Source organism: Homo sapiens, chromosome 9 (genome assembly GCF_000001405.40).
Source record: "Homo sapiens chromosome 9, GRCh38.p14 Primary Assembly".
In the NCBI taxonomy this organism is placed as follows: Eukaryota; Metazoa; Chordata; class Mammalia; order Primates; family Hominidae; genus Homo; species Homo sapiens.
Genome location: NC_000009.12, coordinates 12,692,596 through 12,715,461, shown reverse-complemented (window position 1 = coordinate 12,715,461; position 22,866 = coordinate 12,692,596). Strand labels below are relative to the sequence as shown.

At 33.6% G+C, this 22,866-nt stretch overlaps 1 protein-coding gene and 1 long non-coding RNA gene across 3 annotated transcripts in view; one reads left to right on the top strand and one right to left on the bottom strand.

The window, feature by feature from the left end:
• LURAP1L-AS1 (LURAP1L antisense RNA 1) overlaps positions 1-15,463 on the top strand; it is a 114,391-nt gene extending 98,928 nt beyond the window's left edge. The window contains exon 4 of the long non-coding RNA NR_125775.1: positions 14,836-15,463. This is a non-coding gene — a long non-coding RNA (LURAP1L antisense RNA 1). The remainder of the gene's footprint in view (positions 1-14,835) is intronic.
• On the bottom strand, positions 5,177-22,077 carry TYRP1 (tyrosinase related protein 1). 2 transcript variants are annotated; one of them, NM_000550.3, is made up of 8 exons: positions 21,984-22,077; positions 21,081-21,550; positions 19,625-19,947; positions 16,807-17,011; positions 13,024-13,191; positions 10,757-10,936; positions 7,319-7,465; positions 5,177-6,485 (listed from the first exon to the last, which is right to left on the bottom strand). In NM_000550.3, exons 2-8 carry the CDS (start codon positions 21,463-21,465, stop codon positions 6,280-6,282), a joined length of 1,614 nt encoding a protein of 537 aa, NP_000541.1. In that variant the 5' UTR covers positions 21,466-21,550; positions 21,984-22,077; the 3' UTR covers positions 5,177-6,279. The 2 variants fall into 2 exon arrangements, with proteins under 2 accessions (NP_000541.1, XP_047279797.1); XM_047423841.1 differs by lacking the exons at positions 5,177-6,485; positions 7,319-7,465; positions 16,807-17,011.

The window sequence follows — 22,866 nt, the reverse complement described above, 5'->3', positions numbered from 1 at the left end:
GTCATTCTTCTCTTCAAACCGTTATTAGTGTTTTTAATAAGTATTTATCCAAAGCTTATTACATGCAAGACATTCCACTAGGATAAGGATAGGGAACTATACAAAGATTTGGCTCTGTTTTCCCAAAACTTTCAAAATGTACTAAGAAAATAATTATACAATTAATGCATATCTTATTCAAATCAAAATTCAAATTATTTACTTTTTGAGAGCATGTCGTGTGATACCTTATGTACATAATTACATATTTCCAACCTTTTTTGAGGCTTAAGTTATCTCTGCAAAAATTTCTAATAGATATTAATACTTAATTAATCCTGTATTAATTCTATAGGTTCAGTCAACAATATTTATTTATCTAGGAACTTATCAATCTCATCTTCCCATCTTCCTTATAACTGTATTGTGTCTCATTTATCTTTCAATTTCGTATATGTATGAAATATTTCAGTAAAATGGGTCTGTTCATTCTTCCCCCTTGTAAAAATTTACTGTACACTGCACTAGAAATTGGTGAAACAATGTTAAGTAGCCTCGTTATTCTGATCTTCATGATTATGAGACAACCACATCTTCTTAGTGTTTTGTGCTGTTATATCCTTGCCATATCCTATAATTTCTGCATTATCCTGTATTCCCTCTTACCAAATGAAATGATTTCTGGAGGAATATGAAAGTAAGTTCTTATTAGCTGTATTGTCTTGTACGAATCTGTTCACCTCCATGTAATGCAATTTATTCATCTGAATAATGAAAGAGCCAGACTGGACAATACTCAGATTTATTCCATCTTTATAAGAAAGTTTCCATAGGAAACTTTTGAGAAATATGCTGTGCTGAAGGATAAATGAATTTGGCTTAATTTCTACTTTGCTAAAATTCCATACCACATTTACTACCCCATAGTTATAAATTAGGAACCAACAAACCAAAGAAAACATGGGTAAAGTATGGCTCCTAGTGTAATATCTTGATAATATTACAGTAAATATGGTTTTTAAAAATCTTTTGGGAACAAAGGTTTCTTTAAGAACACTCACTTAAATGCAGGAGAATTGAGGGGATTTGTAGGGGCCTCAGTCCTTGATGAATAGGGACAAAAATAACTGTAATAGAAGCCTCAGAAATATAAAAGATCATAAGGGACTTTTATTTACAATTATGTGCCAAAAATTGGATAATATAGAAGAAATTGATGAATTCTTATAAATATACAAGCAGTATGGTTTGGCTCTGTGTCCCCACCCAAATCTCATCTCTGACTGTAATCCACACTTGTCACGGCAGGGACTAGGTAAGAGGTGATTAGATCATAAGGGTGATTTCCCCCAGGCTTTTCTCTTGATAGTGAGTGAGTTCTCAGGAGATCTGGAGATTTTTATAAGAGGCTCTTCTCCCTTCGTTTTATCTTTCCCGCTGCCTTGTGAAGAAGGTACTTACTTCTCCGTTGCTTTCTGCCATGATTGTAAGTTACTTGACCTCCCCCAGCACAGCCATACGGAACTGTGAGTCAATTAAACTTCTTTCCTTTATAAATTACCTAGTCTTGGGTATTTCTTTATAGCACTGTGAAAATGAACTAATATAACAATACGTCAAGACTGAATTATGAAGAAAACAAGATCCAGTGACTTGCTATCTACAAGAAACTCACTTTAGATGTAAAGATACACATAGGCTGAAAGTGACAAGATAGAAAAAGATATTCCAAAATGGTAACAAAAAGAAAGCAGAAATGGCTATATTTATGTCAGGCAAAACAGACTTAAAATTGAAAATTGTCTCTAGAGATAAAGGTTATTATATGATAAAATGATCAATTCAGTAAGAAGATATAACAATTATAAGTATATACATATTCAATATTAGAGCATTTAAATATATAAAGCAAATATTGACATATCTGAATGGAGAAATTGACAGCAATACAATAATAGTGGTAGACTTCAATATTCCCCTTTTAATAATGGATAAAACATCCAGGCAGAAGATCAGTTTGCCAATGTTCCCCTTAATGTGTGGCCTGAAAGTTGTATAAATAGGCCAGGTGTGATTCCAACTTTACCACATATTTCCTTTTGTGGATTAATGAAGCCCAATAGCTCACTGTTTTCCAACTTGATCAGTTGTATTTGATTTTTCCCTTTATCGGTTGCATTGCACTATTGGCTTATATTTAATTTGAAATTAAAATTCCCTGGTTATTTTGCAAAAACTCCTGCCTCCTTCTACCCTTCAGTTTTGCCATCATGCTTTTTAACTACCGGATTTTGCATTTTTCCTTATTAAAGTTTGTCTATTTCATATCAGACTCTGTTCTTGGTTTATAGATACATTTTTTAAATTTATGTTTTCACATTCATATTAGCTCTCTGCTCAACTTGATCTTCCATTGATCAGTTGGTTGTGAAAATTTTGAGCAGGCTATAGCAAAGGAAAAATACATAGCATTATTGGATATTCATGGACTTAGCTCCAAACAAATGTCTTATAAACGAACCCTGGAACAGTATTTTAATAGCCCCAAACTTATCTTCTCATGTTTTAAAATTATGTGGACTTGTAAGTAAGCACTATGTGTGAAATCTGCTTCTGGACATGAAGACAAGATATAACTGAGGGCCAAAAAAGTAATAGCTTTTTATTTTTCACGCGTAGGACAGTCAGATATTTTAATGGACTCCACTTAGACTATAAAGCTTAGATCAATTTGCAGCACTCACATGCAATGGGTGCTTATGCAACAAGAAATGGGTGCTTATGCAACAGTTTTCTTGTTTGTTATTGTTATGTTCAGGCTTTCTGTTTCTTCTGAAATCAGTCTTAGTATGTTGTATGTTTCTAGGAATTTATCCATTTCTTATAAGTTATCCAATTGTTGGCATATAATTGTTTATAAAAGTTTCTTCTGATCCTTTTGTTTCTTAGGAACACATTTTAATGCTTCCTCTATCATTTCTGATTTTGAGTCCTCTCCTCTTCTTAGTTTAGCTAAGGGTTTGTCCATTTTTTTATTTTTTTAAAAAAAACCCTTAATTTTCTGAATTTTCTCTTGTTTTATTATTCTGTACTTATTTCTACTCTAATTTTCATTATTTATTTCTTTCTGCTAACTTTGGGCTTAGTTTGTTGTTCTTTTTCTAGTTCTTTGAGGTATAAGCTAGGTTGTTCATTTGAGATCCTTAGATTTCAACGTAGGCATTTATTGCTACAAAATTCCTTTTTAGTACTTTTGCTGGATCTTGTAAGTTTTGATATGTTGTGTTTTTGTTTTCACTTGCCTTGAGATATAATTTAAATTCCTCTATGATTTCCTAATTGACCCAATGGTTATTTAAGAGTGTATTGTTTTTTCGTCATTGTGAATTTCCCACTTTCTTGCACTATTGATTTCTAATTTTACTCAATTGTGATCTTAAAAGATCTTTGAAATGACTTTTATCTTTTTAATGTTGGGGGGACTTGTTTTGAGGTCTGATGTAATTTATCCTGGAGTATGTTCCACCTGTGTTTGAGAAGAACATGTTGCTGAAGTATAAGAATATTCTGCTGCTGTTGAGTGGTATGTAATGTATATGTCCCTAAAGTCCAACTGGTGTACAGTGTTGTTCAAGTACTCTCTTTCTTTATAGATCTCCTACCTGGATGTTTTATACATTATTGAAAGTGGAATATTAGATTCTACTACTAGTATTGTATTGATATCAATTTCTCCTTTCAGATCTATCAACATTTGCTTTGTATATTTAAGTGCTCTGATATTGAATATGTATATATTTACAATTGTTATATCTTGTTAAATTGACCCTTTTATTATTATATAATGAACTTCACCTCTAGAGGAAGTTTTTGACTTTGTCTATTTTGTCTGATAGGATAGCCTCCCCTGCTTTCTTTTTTTTTTCTTTTTACCATTTTCATAATATCCTTTTCCATCTCTTTACTTCCAGCCTATATGTATTTTTAAATCTAAAGTGAGTCTCTTATAGACAGCAAGTCACTGGATCATGTTTTTTGATTCACTCAGCTACTTTAAGCATTCTTATTTGGGATATTAAGCCATTTACATTAAAATAATTACTGATTGCTGAGGACTTACTAACTGCCATTTTGTTAATAGTTTTCTGTTTTGCTCTTGTTTTAATCCTCTCTCTCACAGTCTTCCATTGTTAACTGACATTTTTGTAATGATTTACTTAAAGCTATATTTATATTATACTTATAATTTCAATATTATATAGTATTTATAATATAAGCTGTATTTATTTATTTATAGATGTGTACAACTTTATCTTATAATTATGATTATTTAGAATTAATGCTTTGAAACAAGGCTTTCTCCTCTCTCCCACAATCTATTCCATATTAATGAGTTTCTTTGCTTTTAACCATTCCAAATTATTTCTCATCAACGTTATTTGTGAACAGCACCATCACTACTATATTTATAAATATACAGCTTGATTATGACTCTCCCTGTTTCCTATTTCCCATGGAATTAATTCCAAGTATTAAGAATTGCATATAGGACACTCTGGTTTTATTTCCAATTTATCTTTTTACTCCCCTCCATAAAAACTATACTGTAATCACACTGACCTATTTTATATTTTAAAAAGTTCCATGCTCTTTTAAACTTCTGTGCCCTTGTCCATGCTGTCACTTTTGAATAAAATTCCCTTCTCTGCTTCTATATTTGGTAAATCCATTGGCAGTCCTTGAAGTACAAGTCAAACATGACCTTCTCAATTTTACAATTCTTATTTTCTTCTCTCTAAATCTATAGTGCCTTGAAATACTTGATATCTAGTATGTGCTTAATAAATGTTTCTGAAATGAGTAATTAGTAAGTCTACAAAAATATAAAGTGAAGTATTTAGTTTCATTGATGTTCTATATAAAAAGGCATCTTACATTACACAGTAATTTCTTTGAAAAGCTGTGAGTATACTGTATTTTAACAAATCGCAATGTATTCCAAGAGAATAAATTGAATAATGCTAGTGTAAAACATCCTATTGTTATATGCATGCTCTTTGATATATTTTATTTGTTTATCTTGTGTATATATAGCCTTAATATTTTTGAATATAGGAAAACCCAGTAACCAATCAGGGATACATAACTTAAACTTGTTTCTGTTTGTAGAATTTAGAATCTCAGTTTAGCCATTTTCTATAGTGCATGATTATTACTGTTATTATTTATTTTTACCAATTTTAATTAAAATATTCACTTATGACCACCTTATACAGTTCTTTGGAAGATTGTTTCATAGCACAAGATCAAAAAGAGAAAATATATTTCATGTTAGAAGAGAAGGGAAAAAATAGCATTCATATAGAACCAGATAAAAAAGAAGACCAATGAAATAATATGTTAATATTTTACTTGGAAAATACATAAAAGGCTGATAAATGATAAGATAATGCTATTTAAATTAAGCACAGTGATTGGAATACTATTTATAGAGCAGTATAAAACATGTTCTCCATATGCCTTCTCCATGGACCTCTAAGATGTTAGAAGAGACATTAGTAGGTGAAATGTAAGGATAGGTAGTTCCTTTTTCAGCGAATTGAGAGGCAGGGAAACACAGTGGCAAACACAGGCAATATCCATTGTTGCTTAAGAAAGTGAAGATTTTCCCTCTCCAAAGTTTGACAAAGATGGTGATTTTTGTTGTAGCCTTGAACCTGAGACTAAATAGTATATGTTGACTAAATAATATATTTGATTGGTCTTCAAACTGGAACATTAATTTGAAAAGGTTAATCAAAATTTCATTGGTTTATAACTACACATAATTAATTTTCTTTAATTAATAACTGTGGTTTTCTTTAAATCTGTTGACAAATATCCATGAATGGAAATGTGTTTATGTTTTAACATTTTAGAAATGCCCATTCATGTATTTTAAGTGGACATTTACTATCAAACATTATTTTCCTTTACACGTAAACAAAGCATGGTAGTTCACTTACTTATATCTTCACATACTCAACCTTTAAATCATGCCAAAGATCTTCACACTATCCTTAAATATCATGGAGTTTAGTGTCATTCACCATTTTAAATAGAACTGAAAATTAAAACCCATTGAAAAGATTCTGAAAGGGTCTTCCCAGCTTTGAAAAGTATGCCTAGAACTTTAATGCTAACATATGCTTGTATTAGAAAGAAGGTAATAAAGTGAAAGAAAATACAGTTAATAACTCAATCTATTATATTCAACCAGGTGGTTTTGTGATACTAATGCATAAGAGAGTAGGGCATTTGTTAGACCACAGACTGATTAGGATTCTGGAGTTTTTCATATTCTTCAGCATAGCATTGATACTGATCAGTGAGGAGAGGCTGGTTAGCTTCATCCATACTGCGTCTGGCACGAATCAGATAAGAAGCAGTCCCAAAAATGAGTGCAACCAGTAACAAAGCGCCAACTACTGCTATGGCAATTATCTCAGGTACACTAAACTCCCGACCTATTTGGAAAGGAAGATAAAAATAAAAAGACAAATATTAAAATAGTTATCACCAAAAAGTGGACAGATGAAATTTAGAAATGTCTATTTTAACAGAAATCCTCATATTTAATTTACATTGGCCACATGGCCTTGAAGCCACTTCCTGATTTCTTTTAATGAGTGGACCCTATTGGGATAGTCATTGTTATTTCCATTTCATTTTGTGAAAGTGAGAGAATGATGACTCAATGAGTCTGAGTCACTTACCCAGGTCACTTGGTTGGTAAGCAATAAAGTTGGCTTTGGAGCCCGGATATTTTAGAATATAAGTCTTGTACTTTTCCACTATGCCCTACTGCCTTTGTTGGGGAAAAGATTTAAACAAAAAACTTTTGAACTTCAAAATCTCAGAAAAATACCTAAGAGTATCTCACTCCCTTTTCCTTTAAGATAGATAAATGCAGGCAATATGGTATAGTAGAAAAATTGGGGCATATTCCATGGGCCTAAGCTCAAACTCATTCTCTTCCCTCATTAGAAATGTGAATCTGTAACAGTTAACCTATTTAAGCCTCAGCTTCCTTATTTGTGAAATGAAGATTTTCATACTCACCCCAAAGCATTGTGAGGATTAAATGAGATAGGGTGCTGTACAATAAGATCAATATCAGCTTAGTGTGGACTCTCAACAAATATCAAATTCCTTCCCTTATCCTCAAATAAAAGTACAAATGAAAGTTTCCAAGTCCAAATGGAAAACATAGCTTCAGAATACCGTGATTACTCTACTTGAAAGATAACACATTTGCTTTTGGAAATTATCACAGTAAAAATACACTTTCAACACTCACTTGGCCATTGAATTTCATAAGTGTATCCCAGGTTGTCTGGAGCAGTAACAAACATTTCTGTGTTGGTGACTGGGGGCCAGAATGGCACCATGTTGTATTGTCTATTATGTCCAATAGGGGCATTTTCCAATGGAAATGTGGATATATCTAAATTATTCCAAAGACAACGTATTAATAAACATAATAAAATTAATATTCCTATCATTATTGAGTTCTAAAGGCATCCAATATTCAAGGAGAACCTGAAAAAATTTTATTCTTATTTTACACTGAATAAAGATATGAAGTTTCACTACAGCAGGATGAGAAATTACATAAAACAGAAAATGCTTTGAATACAGTACCAATATACCACTTAATAAAAAAGAGAGTTTAAAAGCAGGGGAGTTTTAGTATTTCATCACCTATGGTGATCTTGAATAATTTTTAAAAATTACATAAAGCAATTTGAATAAAATTCATTAAATGTATTTTTCAAAGCCAAAGAAAACATAAACCTGTAATTTGCTGTGGCATACAGCTCTGCCTCCTGTTATCCCTTTGACCTTACTATCTCTCACCACTCTCTCCCCAGACCCCACTCTACTCCAGCCACAGTTGGCTCCCTGTTCCTTTGTCTTAGGACATTCTTCTTCCATATATCTACACAGTACTGCCTATCCTATTTCCTGATTTTATTTGTCTATAGAGACTTCCACCATCTAACATGCTGTATATGTATTTACATATGGTTATTGTCAATTTTATCAACAGGAAGAAAAGTTTCAGGAAGAAAATTTGTTGGTGAATTTTGTATAGCATCGTATTTCTGGTACCTTGAATACTGACCAGGAAATAGTAGATTTGAAAATAATATATATGAAAAGACTTAAGTGTACGTGTGATTACTTCATTTCTCTCACAGCTCAAAAAGTAAAGTAGTGATCACTCTTGGAAACGTATAAACTGCTTCTTCTGAAAATACACTGAACTTCTGGGCTGCTATATTTAAAACTTAATTCATATAATTCTCAGTTGAAATAAAAGAGAAGGAATTGAATTGAATGTGTATATAGATCAGAAATGTTAGTAAATAGAAATTAACATGGTAGTAACTAGAGTTTGGATGCTCTCAATTGTACTATTTCATGTCTAATGAAAGGAACCTGTAATGGACATTAATATTTGAATGACTCCACTTTTCTTTATCTGTAAAGTGTAATTTTTGTTCCTTTCCAAGCCTAATAATTCTATTATTCTGCAATTTGTAAAGAGCTTTCTATATTTGTAAAAACCTTTCAATCATTTTGAAAAAGAATTCCATCCCTCCACTCCTAGACTTATTTTAAACAAGACTCTTGCTTTACAGACAGTTTTATAAATTTTTTTAATCTTTCTAATTTTTCTTTCTCTTCTTCACAGTTGTTTTATGACACTGATTTCTAAAACGTATTTGCAGGTACAAGGAATATTTAAGAAGGAGGCTAATTGTTTCAGCTTAGCTTTCATGCAGTTTGCAAGTGTTTACATTGACCTATCCTATAATTTTATGGCCACATTTTATCAGAAATGTGCTGCAGGGTAGTTTCCTATTTTTTATTTACGGTATTTCTCTTCCCACTACAATTCAAGTTACTGAGAAACCTTATGCTACACATATTGCAAACAAAGAAAATGTCAGAAAAAAATGTTCAAAAGGTATTTTTCTGGTTCATCAATGACCTTTAAGTTAAAATCTGGAGAACCTTTAACAACTTGCTATCAATGTGAAATAATTATATTTTCAGCCAAGATACACAAGGTGAAGGAATATCTTTCCTTTCTTTCATAGGTGAAAGAAAACTCCACTTAAGAGACTTGCCAGGTTACTGAATAGTCTCCATTTCCTCTAAAAAGTTTACTAACACCCACGGCATTGTGAATAACTGAATAAATACAACTTGAACATTGCCATGTAGTTCCCAGAAGTGCATGTTTAACAAAAGCTGGTTTTGTTAATTCCTAAACCTATTAATTTGAGTTTACTCATTACTGTAATAAAAGTAATCTAGTTAAACAAACATAAAGTGGTCATCATGACTGTAAAACAAAGAGAAGGATGTTGTTTTTATAGTATGTAAATTGAACATTTTGGAAAGATTTGTTAAAGGTGTATGGCTAAAATATTTGCCCTCATATTGTATTTCAAAAGTCACTCATTTATTGTTTCACTTTTAAAAAAGCTGACAGTGTAAATTATAGATTTATGGTTGTCATTATGTATATAAATACACATGAAAATGAGATGAAACTGCAATAACTGAATTCATAACTGATTGAAAACTAACTCTGTCTCTGTCAGCCAGGCTAGAGTGCAGTGGTGTGATCTTGGCTAACTGCAACCTCTACCTCCTAGGGTCAAGTGATTCTCCTGCCTCAGCCTCCCCAGTAGGTGGGATTACAGGTGCCCATGACCATGCCTGGCTAATTTTTGTATTTTTAGTAGAGACGGGGTTTCACCATGTTGACCAGGCTGGTCTCAAACTCTTGGGCTCAAGTGATCCCCACATCTCGGCTTCCCAAAGTGCTGCGATTACAGGCTTATGTGTAAGTTGTTTCTTAAATAATTTTTGATGGAACAAACTATTTTCATCAATTTCATCAATTAATGGTCCTAATTAGGTTGGATTAGAGGACGTTATTGCACACATACACACATAGAAATGAAAGCATGCCTAATGGATACATAAATCAATAGGTAGTTAAGCTACAATATCAGGTTTATGTGCGTTATGAGCTAAAGGCACAAAAGCCAAAATTTAGAATGCTTTCAACCTATGAAAATTTGCGATGTTTTAACCAGTGGAAGCACTTTTATTGTTTGAAAAATAATGCTAGCCTCTCAGCTGCATAGGAAGGCAGAGAAAGAGGCCTTTTAAATAGTATTTTAAAGAATGCATTGAAATGAACTTAAAAGAGATTTCCTATAGTGTGATATAAAAGCCAACATTAACTTTTCAAGTGGAACACAATTTCTATTTGTGAGGGGCCATTAAGTAATAAAAATAAGAACTGTGGATTATGGGTATAAAATTTTTAGTCTTTTGGGATATCAAAGAAGAGCTCTATAAGGTTTTCCTCATTTATATTTAAAAGTAATGAGAATTTATGTTGGAAGATGAGGGTAAGAACAATTTGTGAAACATAGTAGCCATTTTTTCGTAGCAAAAATTAGGAGAGATGATTTGGTTAGTCCCAGCAAATGGTTAAAAATATCATCCTATAATAACTATTTGGAGAGACTTCTTGCCTGCATTTTCAAAGTAGAATTGAATGTCTGGAAGTGACTTGATATTACAGCTATGCTATCCTTATTTTGAAAGTGTTTTTATGCGCTGAGTGCTCAGCTTGAACTGATAACTATGCCATCTAAACAATCCGCCCAGCTGAGCATGCAAAAGGCATATGAAAATGTCTTACCAGCATTGTATCTCCTCAGCCATTCATCAAAGACTGCATCTGTGAAGGTGTGCAGGAGGACAAAAATAGGATCATTTGGAGACAAATGGGTTTGTCCCCCTGTTCCATTCAGGAATAGATGAGCCAAATTGTGAAGACTTCGAACAGCAGGGTCATACTTTCCCGTGGGGTCACTGTAACCTAGACACATGGTAAGGAGGAGAATAGTAAAACTATTGCAAATATTTCACTTTTCCAGGTAATAGCAATGATTATATTGGGAAACAATTTTTTCAAGGCTCGTCAGGCCAATTTTTGCCTTAATATAACAGCACTGCTTCTCTGTACCTATGGTTGATGACATTTGTTTGCTATACCCAGAGCTAGGCTGGTTTTATGCTAGTGGCATGACATTCTAAATGTAGCCTCCAGGTTAAAAATAATGACCTGCAAAGGATACCAGTCAAAATATATAGACACTCTATTTGACAAGGCAGACATTGTTCTACATGGGAATAAAGATAGTGAAAATCTCCAGTTTCTGCTAAAAACTGCTGACACAATTGGGAGAAGAATGCTCTGGTTGTCTTGGAACTTAAGTTGCCAGATGTTACTTCAGCCTCCTACCTTATTTTTGAATGACTGTTAGCACGTTTATTTTTGGAAAACTATTTTTTGTGGGGAAGCTACAATTCCTCAGGGCTTTCTTTCCATCTTTGTGCTAGTTTTAAACATCGGGAAAACCTACTGTCAAAACATTTATACAGCTTTTGATAAATATCTCAATTCCATATATACATATACACACACATATATACACACACACACACACACACACACACATATATATATATATTCCATATATAAGGGAGAAAACAAGGATTGGTATAAGACAGGTCATAAATAAAAATGGAGGGTCTATAATGTAGGCTGTCTAATTGGGTTGAAGGACCAGAGGGTTGAGATCAGGGAATTGTTGTGCATTATAAAATGAAATCAGAATTTAAAATATGTTAACCAGTTCTCTCTTCATCTAAGATGAATTGTATAGTTGTAGCCACTTATTTAGCCACCTATGCATTTTTTCAAGCATCTATTCCATTGTTATTTGACTCAAAAACATTTAAAGATTGTCTGTGATATATATGGAACGTGGCTTGACACTCGTCTTTTTATACATTTTGTCAGGAAATAAGTATAATTGTCTTCTGATTGGGCATTAAGAAGACACAATCTGTACATTTTTTAAAACATCAGTGCTGATGGCCTTAGTTTACAGATTAGCCAAAATATAGTGATTTTTTTTATTGAATCATATTCAAATCAGTGCATTCAGGTAGTTATTAAAATGATCAAAAATAGGTTAATATGGCATATAATTTTGAGACTAAAAGGTGAGAGAATTAAAAATAATTATTAGATTTGTATACCAAGTATCTCTGATCATAGGGCAGAGAAATGTATTTGCATTTTTTGGGGAGATGGGATGCATTAGACATGGACAATGCTATATTGAAGGTAAAAATTTAACAATAACAAGTTTATAAGATAAAAGTAATTATATTCTTTTGAAGACTTTAAATATATATATATATCAAGCATCATTTGGAGGTATCAAAATTTATTATACAAAGACACTGGATTTTGAAAACTTGAATTTGAACCTACGCTCTGTTAGTAACTAGCTGAATATCTTGTGATAGTAATTTTACCTGTTTATACCTCACTTTCCTCAGCTTTAAAATACTTTGTGTGAAATAAGGAAAACCAAGTTAAGCATCAGTAGATGCTAATTTGAATTTGTACAGACCTTTGAAAAAAGTTACAGGTTAATACGGACCTAAATAAAACATATGCGCAAGCAAGGCTTTACTCAGTGTCAACTAATTGTTTGGAATTTTTTTTATTACTCTATTTAAAAAAAAAACTAAACTAATTTAATACACTGTCAAAGTCTTGAATATTGTTTGCCAATGCTAGAGACCTTGATATAGTTACATATTGGCCAGCTAGCTACCAGAAATTTGAATTTAAAAAGTTTTTGGGTGTTTAAGAAATTAGAGCATGATTTCCAAGGGCTTCACCTATAATGAAAAGAGCTTCATGGTTGACTCTTCTTTTTAAGAAAGTTCCTTTTTCAAGCAGGTGTATCATAATAGAAAATCTCATTCACATAAACACACAGGATTAATATACTATTCAAAGCCTTCTCAAAGAAACTTGCTTTTGAATAATTCAGTTTTCTCTGATAACTAGATCTTTTAAAAATACTGATTTCATTTACTTGCCTTCCACTGTGTTTCGGAAACTGTTTGTAGAGTTGGAATAAAAAGGAGGCGTGTCAAATAAACCAACTTCCAAGCACTGAGCGACATCCTGTGGTTCAGGAAGACGTTGCACCATTGGTCTGGCCACATTTCCAGCTGGATTTCTCCTAATTGGCCCATCCTCGGTGCCTGCAGAAAAAAATGGGATGTGGAAACATTTACACAATGTTTGGAGTTCTTATTGTCGCTCTTTAAAACTTTATACATAGCATGAATATGAAATATAGGTTTTCCTTGGTAGAAAAGAAAATTTAAAAATGCATACTTGGTAGCATTAAAATGAGAAAATCTAAGTTACCATGTCCCATTTCTTTGAATCAAGTAGATATGAGATACATAAAAGTATCTGAAGGAAAAAAAAGAATCACACTAACAGATACAGGTGTTGATATTTGTTAAATCAATATATGCTTCTTCCACAAGAATGTATTAAAATGAAAATTCCATGGAAAATTGAATTTTGCCAAAATAATCTCATAAATCTAGTTCTACACTAAAATCTTTATGTCACATATATGTGATATTTTGTATGCAAATGCTGTCTATTTAAACCTTCAGAGAAATAAGGAAAAAAAAACCCTTACATTTCTTTGGAAAGTGATACATATGTCAACCAACACACATTTTTCAACTTTTTCAGCAATTAATGTGAGAAATAATGAAACTTTGTGAAGGGCAGTAACAAACAAAGAACTGTGATACTAGGGATAGATAATATGATAGGAGCCTTAAAGAAGAGAGATGGTGGGAGGGAGCAGGGAAAGAGAGAGAGAGATCCTGCCCAGTCAGATCTCCAGAAAGGCTTTATAAAGAAGAGAGATTTACACAAAGCCCCATAGGATTAAGAAAAATTTTCTTAGGTGAAATAAATTTTACAAGACAAACATTTTAGGCAGAGGAAATGGCAAGAGATGATACACTTTCTTCTGTCTATAACACCCCCTATCTGTAACAAAAAAAAACTTTGTATCCCACAGACTTGGCACAGTACCTGGCATTGAATAGGTGCTGAAGAGTTGTTTGGTGCCTGTCATTATATGGAAAAGATCATGTTAGCTGTAAAATAAACAAAAAAAGGGGGAGGGCCTGTTTGGGAAATAGTTTGCCTGGAGTATGTGCCAGGATAGTAGTGGACTGTAGGAAAGAAAAGAAGCTAGACCAGAGCTATATTGTGAAAAAAAAATCAAGTATCAAGATAAGAAAGTTATGTGTGATTTATTAGGAAGTGGAGAGAAGTCAAAACCTTAGATGGGTGGGAGGAGAGGTGATTGGTTAGGAAAATTTTGCATCATTCTGTCCCAGTGGTCTCCAGAAAGGAATATATGTACCGTAAAGGGACAAGCAAAACAATCCACTAAGCTGGTGAGAGATAATTTTACAACTTCAACTCATATTCCTTTTCCTTCATTCAGAAAGCCTCCCATGTTCTATGCTTTATAATTAACGTAATAATCAGAACCTGTTAAGTTAGCATAATGAAATTTAAATAATATGTAACTAAAACATATGCCTCAGGTGGGATTGGAAACTATTTATTGAGTGTACATTATCACCCAAAACTTTCACCATCACTAGCTAGACTATCAATTCAAGCTGATGTTTTGGGGATTACTGCTCAGGAAGCTATCAATAAATCCCAAGAAACAAATATTAATTACTTGAGTTTCAAAACATTACATTCTAATTTGCCCTCACAGAGTTCCATTGTAGAAAATGCTGACAGTAAAGAAACTAGTTTATATAAAAAATAAACCAGTTTGTTTTTTATTCCAGTGATTCTTAAATTTGTTTGCATATGGACAAACTCTGCCATTGCACCTAACATCCTATGGACCAAAGTCCTGTGGAATTTCCACATAAAAATAAATGGAAAGTTGCCCATGTCTGAAGAAGAAAATATATTTGAGAAGTACTGTGAATAAAGAACAGTGTTTTTCTATGTTGATTCAAAGATGGTATTTTGGTGGCTGGAAGAACGTTAGCTGCAATAAAATATTAACTATTTTCAATCCACCAAGTTTGGCGCATTAATTTTGAATATTGGAGAAATACTATGCAACAAGCATGTGAAGACATGGGTATGGAATATTTAAAGAAAGAAGGTTTTATCTAAAGGTGGAAACGTGTGGGTCTCCAGTAAAAGATGACGAATGGAACTACAGAAATGGACAAGATCATTAAAGAAGAACAGTAATAGAAGAGAGAATTGTTATGAAGACTAAATAGGATACTATATCAATGCATTTCATACTATATCAGATACATAATATATGTTCAATAAAATGATAGTTTTTCCCTTTCCTTTGCCTTATAAATAAAATGTCTGCCATTTATCTCTTGCAGTGAGACAAGGGATAATCTTAAAAATATTTTAACCTAAAATAAATATTCTTCAATTTGTCATGAGACTATGTGTCTGAGTTAGGAGACTTGTTATATTAATTGACAAGAAAAATTATGATGAAAAGAAAATCTCTTCCTCTTTCTTCCCCCTCCTGTGCTATGATTGCATTCACTCATTTAAACTGTGTTTTATTTTGGTATCCAATCATCAGGGTGATTGGGAAATGTCTAGAAAACTCTCAGGCCAAAATACAATGGCCTGGTCACAAAGAGTATAAACATTTTGGCATCTGCAGACATCCTGATCCTCAATTTCAGTTCTCTGCCACAAGGTGGGATCATGCATTCAGCATACCAAACAAATACAAATTTATTCTAAGTTTTAAACTTCTACAGAGGAAATTTTCATATATTATCACTTCTCTTATTCCTATACATTGCTAAATAATCTAATGGTGAAAATATGTATCTAATTCCTGCTGATTTATTTAGAGTATTTCTTATTTAAGTTCATAAAATAATACTTGATGCATAAAATAATACATGTAGAATAAGTATGTGGTGATTATAATAAGAAAACAAATTCACATAACTCTTATTTTTATATGGAAGAACAATCAAAAGAGCCATACATGCCTGAAGAAGAAAAATAAGATGAGGTAGGGGGTGTCTAATAATTAAACCTTGTGTTACTACCACAGGCACAAATAATAATATGATCCAAGGAGGAGAACAGAAAGCTCAGGAAGAGATCTACATGTGGCAGAAACTTGACCTGTGACAGTGGTGGCATTCAGATCACTGGAGAAAGGATGCTGGGACAACTGATTAGGCGTACTCTTACTGTGTTCACTTTGGAAGAGCTGGAAAGCAGCTAGGGGGCAGACATCAGTACAATATACTCCTTTTCTGAAAACTATCCCCCATATCAGCTTTTGTTTTCTAACTTTATAACTGCAAGCATACATTTGGTTTGCTTCTTTTCTTTTTTTTCTTCCCAGGGCATTTCCAACTTTTTGCCTATTTTTCACATTTTCTTAGGAAACATTTTCTGTGAAATTCCAACACAAGACACATGACTTCTAAGTAGTGCTAAGAAAACTAAGAGGATTAGTTTATACAACTAGACATTTCCAAAATAAGAAAGTTAGCAAGATATTGACCAAACTACTCAAGAAAGGCAGTGTAAAAATGTGTAGGCACTTTCTGTTTCCCCTGGAGCAACTTCTAGAGTACCTTGAACATTCTAGGTGTTTAATGAATGCCTGGTACACTGTTACTCTATAATAAAAGTAGATTTTAGTCTGAATTCTCTAGTAGAATGAAGGGCCTTTCAGGCAACATATTTAATCTCTTTATCTAAAAAGAAATTCTGACTCCAAGCTATCATTTGGAACTTACTGTTACAAAGTGTTCCCAGGGTATCATAATCTTCCAAGGAGTCACAGACCACTCGCCATTGAGAAAAGACAGAGTTTGGGCTTATTAGAGTGGAATCAAAGTTGCTTCTGGATCCCATCAAGTCATCCGTGCAGATATCACAGACATTTTTCCCCGTTGCAAAATTCCAGTAAGGAAGGGAGAAAGAAGGCTCTTGCAACATTTCCTAGATCACAGAAACCACATTAATACTCTCTGCTTCTGTTTACAATTATTCATTTCTGTTTGGTCTACTCTCTGACAGTCTATTTCTATTAGCTCTCTTCAGACAATAAGGTACTGGTTAGTATATCAACGGTGTCTGAGGGGCCCAGAGGAGTTAAAACCTTATTTAACAAAGCTGGTAATTTATTACAAGGTGTCATTTAGGCATTAGAGGGAATGAAACTCAACTCATTATGCAGACATTTCTGAAAATGATTTAAAGGGATAAAGGGTCTTCTTTTTCTTTTTTAGGCAGATAATTACATTTATATTGGTTATACAAAAAAGTTATCAATAACAACATCCACTTCTTGGCATTTCCACCTTCTTCCATTTTCCTATCTTTAATTCAAGCATCATTAACTCTTAGTCTGGAGCCAGATCCAGCCTTAAAATATGTTTTGTGGAGTGCTAATTTTTGTTTTGCTTCTGTTTTTAAATTTAATTTGAATGACTAGGCATTTAGATTCTGGTTTGGCAACAGGCCAATGGACTCTTTCACACTGAGCACGGAAGGTGTTTTATTTAGGGAACCCTGCCTTAGAATCTAAACTTTTAAGACTCAGGCTTCTGCCTAAATTTATACTGATAAAAATGCTAAACAGAAGCAGAGTAAATCTTTCTGCCCATTGTTTTTTAGATCAGAGACCTAGTTTCCATTCAAAGCTGATCTCACATTTTTAAAAATGCTGGCCTCAAGATCACATGCTTATTTCATTCGGTTCTTTAAAACATACATTTCCTTGTTATTTCTCATTTCTTTGGTGCCTTGAGAAGTTCTATTTATGGTATGGGATTTAAATGTAGGGATTGCAATTGTTTTATCTTATCTCTCAAGCACTCAGTATATTTCTACTTTTTCACTTTAAATCCCTTCCTAGGAAGCATTTTCTTATCCTTGGGTGTTTTAGAGAGCCAAAAGCTTTCCAAGTTATCCCCAGTTATTGGTCTCCAGGGGTTTGTAGTCCTCCTTTAGAAGCCATCATTGTGGTTCACAAAAATTAGTGACAGCTTCCAAGGGATCATTAAGAATCGGTTTGTGGTTCAGCAACTGACATTTGGGAGCCAGAGCATATTCATGTGGCATTTCAACCACGAATTACATTTAAATTCTAATTTGTTGCATCCCTTGTGCTGTTGGGTCTTTAAAATGTAAGTCATAGAGGTTGAAGTTTACACAGGCAAAATTGAAGCTTTTAGATACTTTCCACCTGCCCTTTCATTTTGGTGTGCCCATGAGAAAATGACTTGAAGGCATGAAGATCTGCAGTCAATTACAAATGACAGATTTATCTATAATCTACTAAATGTCTTACTTGCAATCAGAGCTATAAAATATGACGTTCAGAGTATCAGATGAATTCATTTAATCACTCTCAAACTGCAAATGGATAGTGTACTTTCAAAAGAATATTTTATCCTGTATGTTAGTGCATTAATTCTCTCTCTTCTAACCATTTATTTTTTCTCGGAATAATGCTGGCACAGCATTCTGCAAATTAATAAATGAATCTAAACGCCTTTCCCTTCTTCAGATATTTTTAGCTTAATTTTTATATCTTAACTTGAAGGGGGAGATTCATTGCTGTTATTTCACATAGAAAACAGGTTTACTTTGTGGATTTCCTAGTTGAGATCTAACAACTTAAACTTTTATTTTAAAATTTCCATATTTTTCTCAAGGAACAGAGCAGTTGGTAAAAGAAATAAGAGTAAAGAATCTACGTAACTAGATACTTTAATATGTTTGAAGCTTATCTGCTTAGAAAATAAGCATGAAATAACTGCTTGAGTTGAGGTTCACTTTGTGCCAAATAAAAAGCCAATGTCTTTTCACTAAAAATATTGCCTGACTGATATAATTATTTTGATATTTTTCAACTTTTTTTCAAATTTTACATATTTTAGGTGTACAACATGGTGCTTTGATATAAATATACATAGTAAAGTGATTACTATAGCCAAGCAAATTAAAATATCTGTCCTCTTATATAGTGATGTGATATTTTAATAGGTTTCTTCTGTAAGACTCAAAGGGTAGGGAACGTGGAAAAATATAGTTCAATGAAAATATGAGAGTCTAAATTGAAAGGAATTATTTTTCATGATTTAAACCCTATACCATGTTGGAGGGAATCATCGCTGGAATGATGAGATATACATTTAGGACTGGAAAGATTGAGAAGTCTCTAACCCACATCACTTGACCAGGAGGAGGAATCTGCTTATATTTAGTAGAGAAGGAAGACATGCAAATGAGATTCTTCTGTTTCAAGCTTTATGAAAGTCATGTTTTCAATGAAACTGCAAAATATTTTTAAACTTTTAATTCATTCCTGCAAATGTCTCATTTTGCTCATTATTGATTTTGCTTTATTTTCACTTCACCAAGATAAAGATTAATTAACAAGTAACCAAAATAAGGAGAAAACGAAATGCCAAAGACAGGTTAGTAACATAAAATTGCTTTTTCATCAAATGTTCTGATGATTCTGAAAACTAGTGAATTAAAATCACTTACAAACAAGGCATCTTGTCTGTAAAGAGTCTGCAAACTGAAATGCTTCTTACATACCTGCATGTCTTTCTCCAGACGCAGGAGGTGGTACCTGTGCCATGTGAGAAAAGCTGGTCCCTCATGAGAGAAATCCACTTCACCAAAGCTTTCCTGTCCTACCCCAAGGAAAGTCTTTTTGACTGAGTAATAGTGTGTCCAAACAAAGTAGTTATAAATGGAAATGTTCTCAAATTGTGGCGTGTTGCCATCTGGCCCCAGTATTTCTTCTGATCTCCTGGTGGCAATGACAAATAAAGGGTGAGTTGTGCGCTTTGCCATATCCAGGGCCCGGACAAAGTGGTTCTTTTCTTCTTTACTTAAGTCCAGAAGATTTCTCCTGACTTTAGGGATACAAAATTCAAGCATGAAAACATCTGCCTTGCGGGGATGGGTAGAGAAAGAGCATAATCATCTTGTAACACACCACGACCCATTTATCCATCTGTTCAAATGTGTTTTAAATTATTTTACACTTTTAAAAATATCCTTAACTAAAACCCTTTCTTCAAGCCTGCTTTCTCTCTCTTTCTTCCCTTTTCTCTCTCCAATTTACTGCATGATTTATATTACCTTTCTTTAATCTTACCTATGGATTTTATGTTTCTGTGACCTTGTCATGTTGATTTCTGCCCACTGTTGGCATTTTTGTTGGAATTTTCTGTCTTTTTAACATTATAAATCTTTGAAAATTAGGTGATATAACATAGTAGTTAAGACCAGAGAATTATTCTATGACTTTGGGCACATTTTTCCAAGTCTTAGTTTTTTTTTAATCATTAAAATGTGGATAAAAATAATACTTGCTTTACAGAATTGAAAGTTCAAAGACCACACACATAAAAAGCAATTAGCCCAAGGCCTAACTCATAGTAAGGACTCAATACATGTTCATTTAAACCCTTAGTCTACTATCTCGCACATAGAACACAATCAAATATTGTTGGCTGTTACTGTTTAGTGCTTTGTTATTTAATGCTATTTAGTCTGCAGGCCAAACTCTTCATCTCAAATGCTGAATTTGATCATCATGGTGGGAAACTTCTTTAAGGGTCAGCAGGGGTAGTTGCAGAACTAAAATATAAGGGCTAGGTAGATCTCAGCATGAATTCCAGGTTTACTAAATATCACCTGTGTGGATTTGAACTTTCTGAACCTCATCTATGACAATTAACATGTTTACCTGAAGGAGTTACTGAATTGACTAGTCATAATACCTAACACAGTTCCTAGGATATAGTGGTTGCTCAATAAATGTTTCAGAATAAAATATTGATCAGAAGTTCTGAGCTTCAACTCCAACCCTTTACATTAAACAAGTTTCTTAACCTTTCTAAGCCTCAGTTTCCTCAACTATGAAAAGAGAGGGTTGAGCTATATGATTTCCAGGTATTCCTCCAGCTCAAATGATTTAAGATTTTATTAAGAGCCTTGAGTCTCATGCAGGACTTATGAACTCATTCATATCTCCACTTACCTATGAGAACCCTCTGGTCACAGGCAGCTCCTCTCCAGCCAGGACGGCACGTCCCACAGTTGTGTCCTGAGAAATTGCCGTTGCAGTGACATGTCCTATTGAAGAAGCGCAAGGGCCAGACCTCCCGATCATCTCTGCCATCATGGGGATACTGAGGGCTGTGGGGCCGGGAGTCTGCAGTCACTGCCTCACATCTGCCCCTCCCTGATGATGAGCCACAGCGGTCTGTCCCAGGCCCAGACACAGGGGACAGGTCTGGGCAACACATACCACTTCTCAAAGCCTCAACAGTGGCACACTGTCTTGGGAATTGAGCCCGGGCCTGCTGAAAAAGTAGCAAGGGGAAGAAGATACAGCCCAGAGAGAGGAGTTTAGGAGCACTCATTCTGCTTGAAATAAGAGTGCAAAACAAAGACCTGGTTTGCAGCTCTTTGTGTAGAGAAGACTGAAGCACGTAGAGGAAAATCCAGCTGAAAAAGAGAAAGTAAAATGAGATTATGCAAGTTTTTCTTGGTACTTAAAATGGTATGCCCCCTTCCCAAACCACTTTCAAAATGGAACCCATATGTAAAATGACATTTCACACAAATAATAAAAGTGTGACATTTCACACAAATTTTACCTTTAAAATTTGGCATATATAACACCTGCATGTGTGATACCCAAATAATTAAATTCCCTGTCCTCGTCATTTTGTTTATATATATATACATACTAGATATCAGTTATCAAAAGCATGAATTAGCAGGTCACCATCATTAATTACATTTAATTTAACCTTGGAGCTGAAGGAAGAATTGGGAACAGATTTCCAGCAAGTTAATTTCTGTGATTTAAAGTCCCTTACACTAATGGAGTTTTGGCACGTGTCCACCCACTCCCCATAGGACTTCTTTCCAGTACCTCACAATCCTGAAGGATGTCTCTGATGAACTTCTCTTAGAATTGAATGTTTTATATTTGCTTGTGTTTCTTGTCCTCTCACGTCAGAACTGTTAAGTGCATGTGGATTGCTGCCTGATAATTAATCCCAAATCTGCTCACCCAAACTAGGCGGGGGGCTGGTCTTTTTTTCCACCCTTTACTAATCCTTTTCACTTCAGTGAATATTTCTGCCCTTTAAGGACTTGATCAGCACATGATTCCCTTCCAACTGATTTCCTTGTGATGCTTAAAGTTTTAAGAAAAGGCCAGAAGCACTAATTTGGAATACAAGTCAGATAAACTAGTGAGATTTGTTTACTTTGCAGAGATTTTTTTTTATTCTGTTATTCAACTGTTATTCAACATATTACCTTGCTAGAGCAACCAGGCAAGAGAAGGTATAAAGAGCATCCAAATTGGAAATGAAGAAGTCAAATTATCCTTGTTTGCTGATGATAAGATCTTATATTTGAATAAAACCTAAAGACTCCTCTAAAAAACTATTAGAGCTGACAAACAAATTCAGTAAAGTTGCAGGATACAAAATCAGCATACCAAAATCAGCAAAGTTTCCATATACCAACAGTGAAAAATGTGAAAAAGAAATAAAAAAGTAATCCCATTTACAATAGCCACACATAAAATTAAATACCTAGGAATTAACCAATGAATGAAAGGTCTCTATAATGATAACTACAAAACATTGATGAAAGAAATTGAAGAAGACACCAAATAATGGAAAAATATTATATGTTCATGGATTGGGAGAATCAAGATTGTTAAAAAGTCCGTATTACCTAAAGCAATCTACAGATTCAATGCAATTCCTATCAAAATACCAAAGACATTCTTCACAGAAACA

What these genes read in the sequence shown, in the direction of transcription:
- TYRP1 (NM_000550.3), bottom strand. Translation starts at nt 21,465, where the DNA reads ATGAGTGCTCCTAAACTCCTCTCTCTGGGCTGTATCTTCTTCCCCTTG. An exon ending in TTTCCGAAACACAGTGGAAG is followed by an intron (nt 10,937 to 13,023) that starts GCAAGTAAATGA and finishes CCATGTGTCTAG; the next exon opens with GTTACAGTGACCCCACGGGA. An exon ending in TTATGAAATTCAATGGCCAA is followed by an intron (nt 6,486 to 7,318) that starts GTGAGTGTTGAA and finishes CTTTCCAAATAG; the next exon opens with GTCGGGAGTTTAGTGTACCT.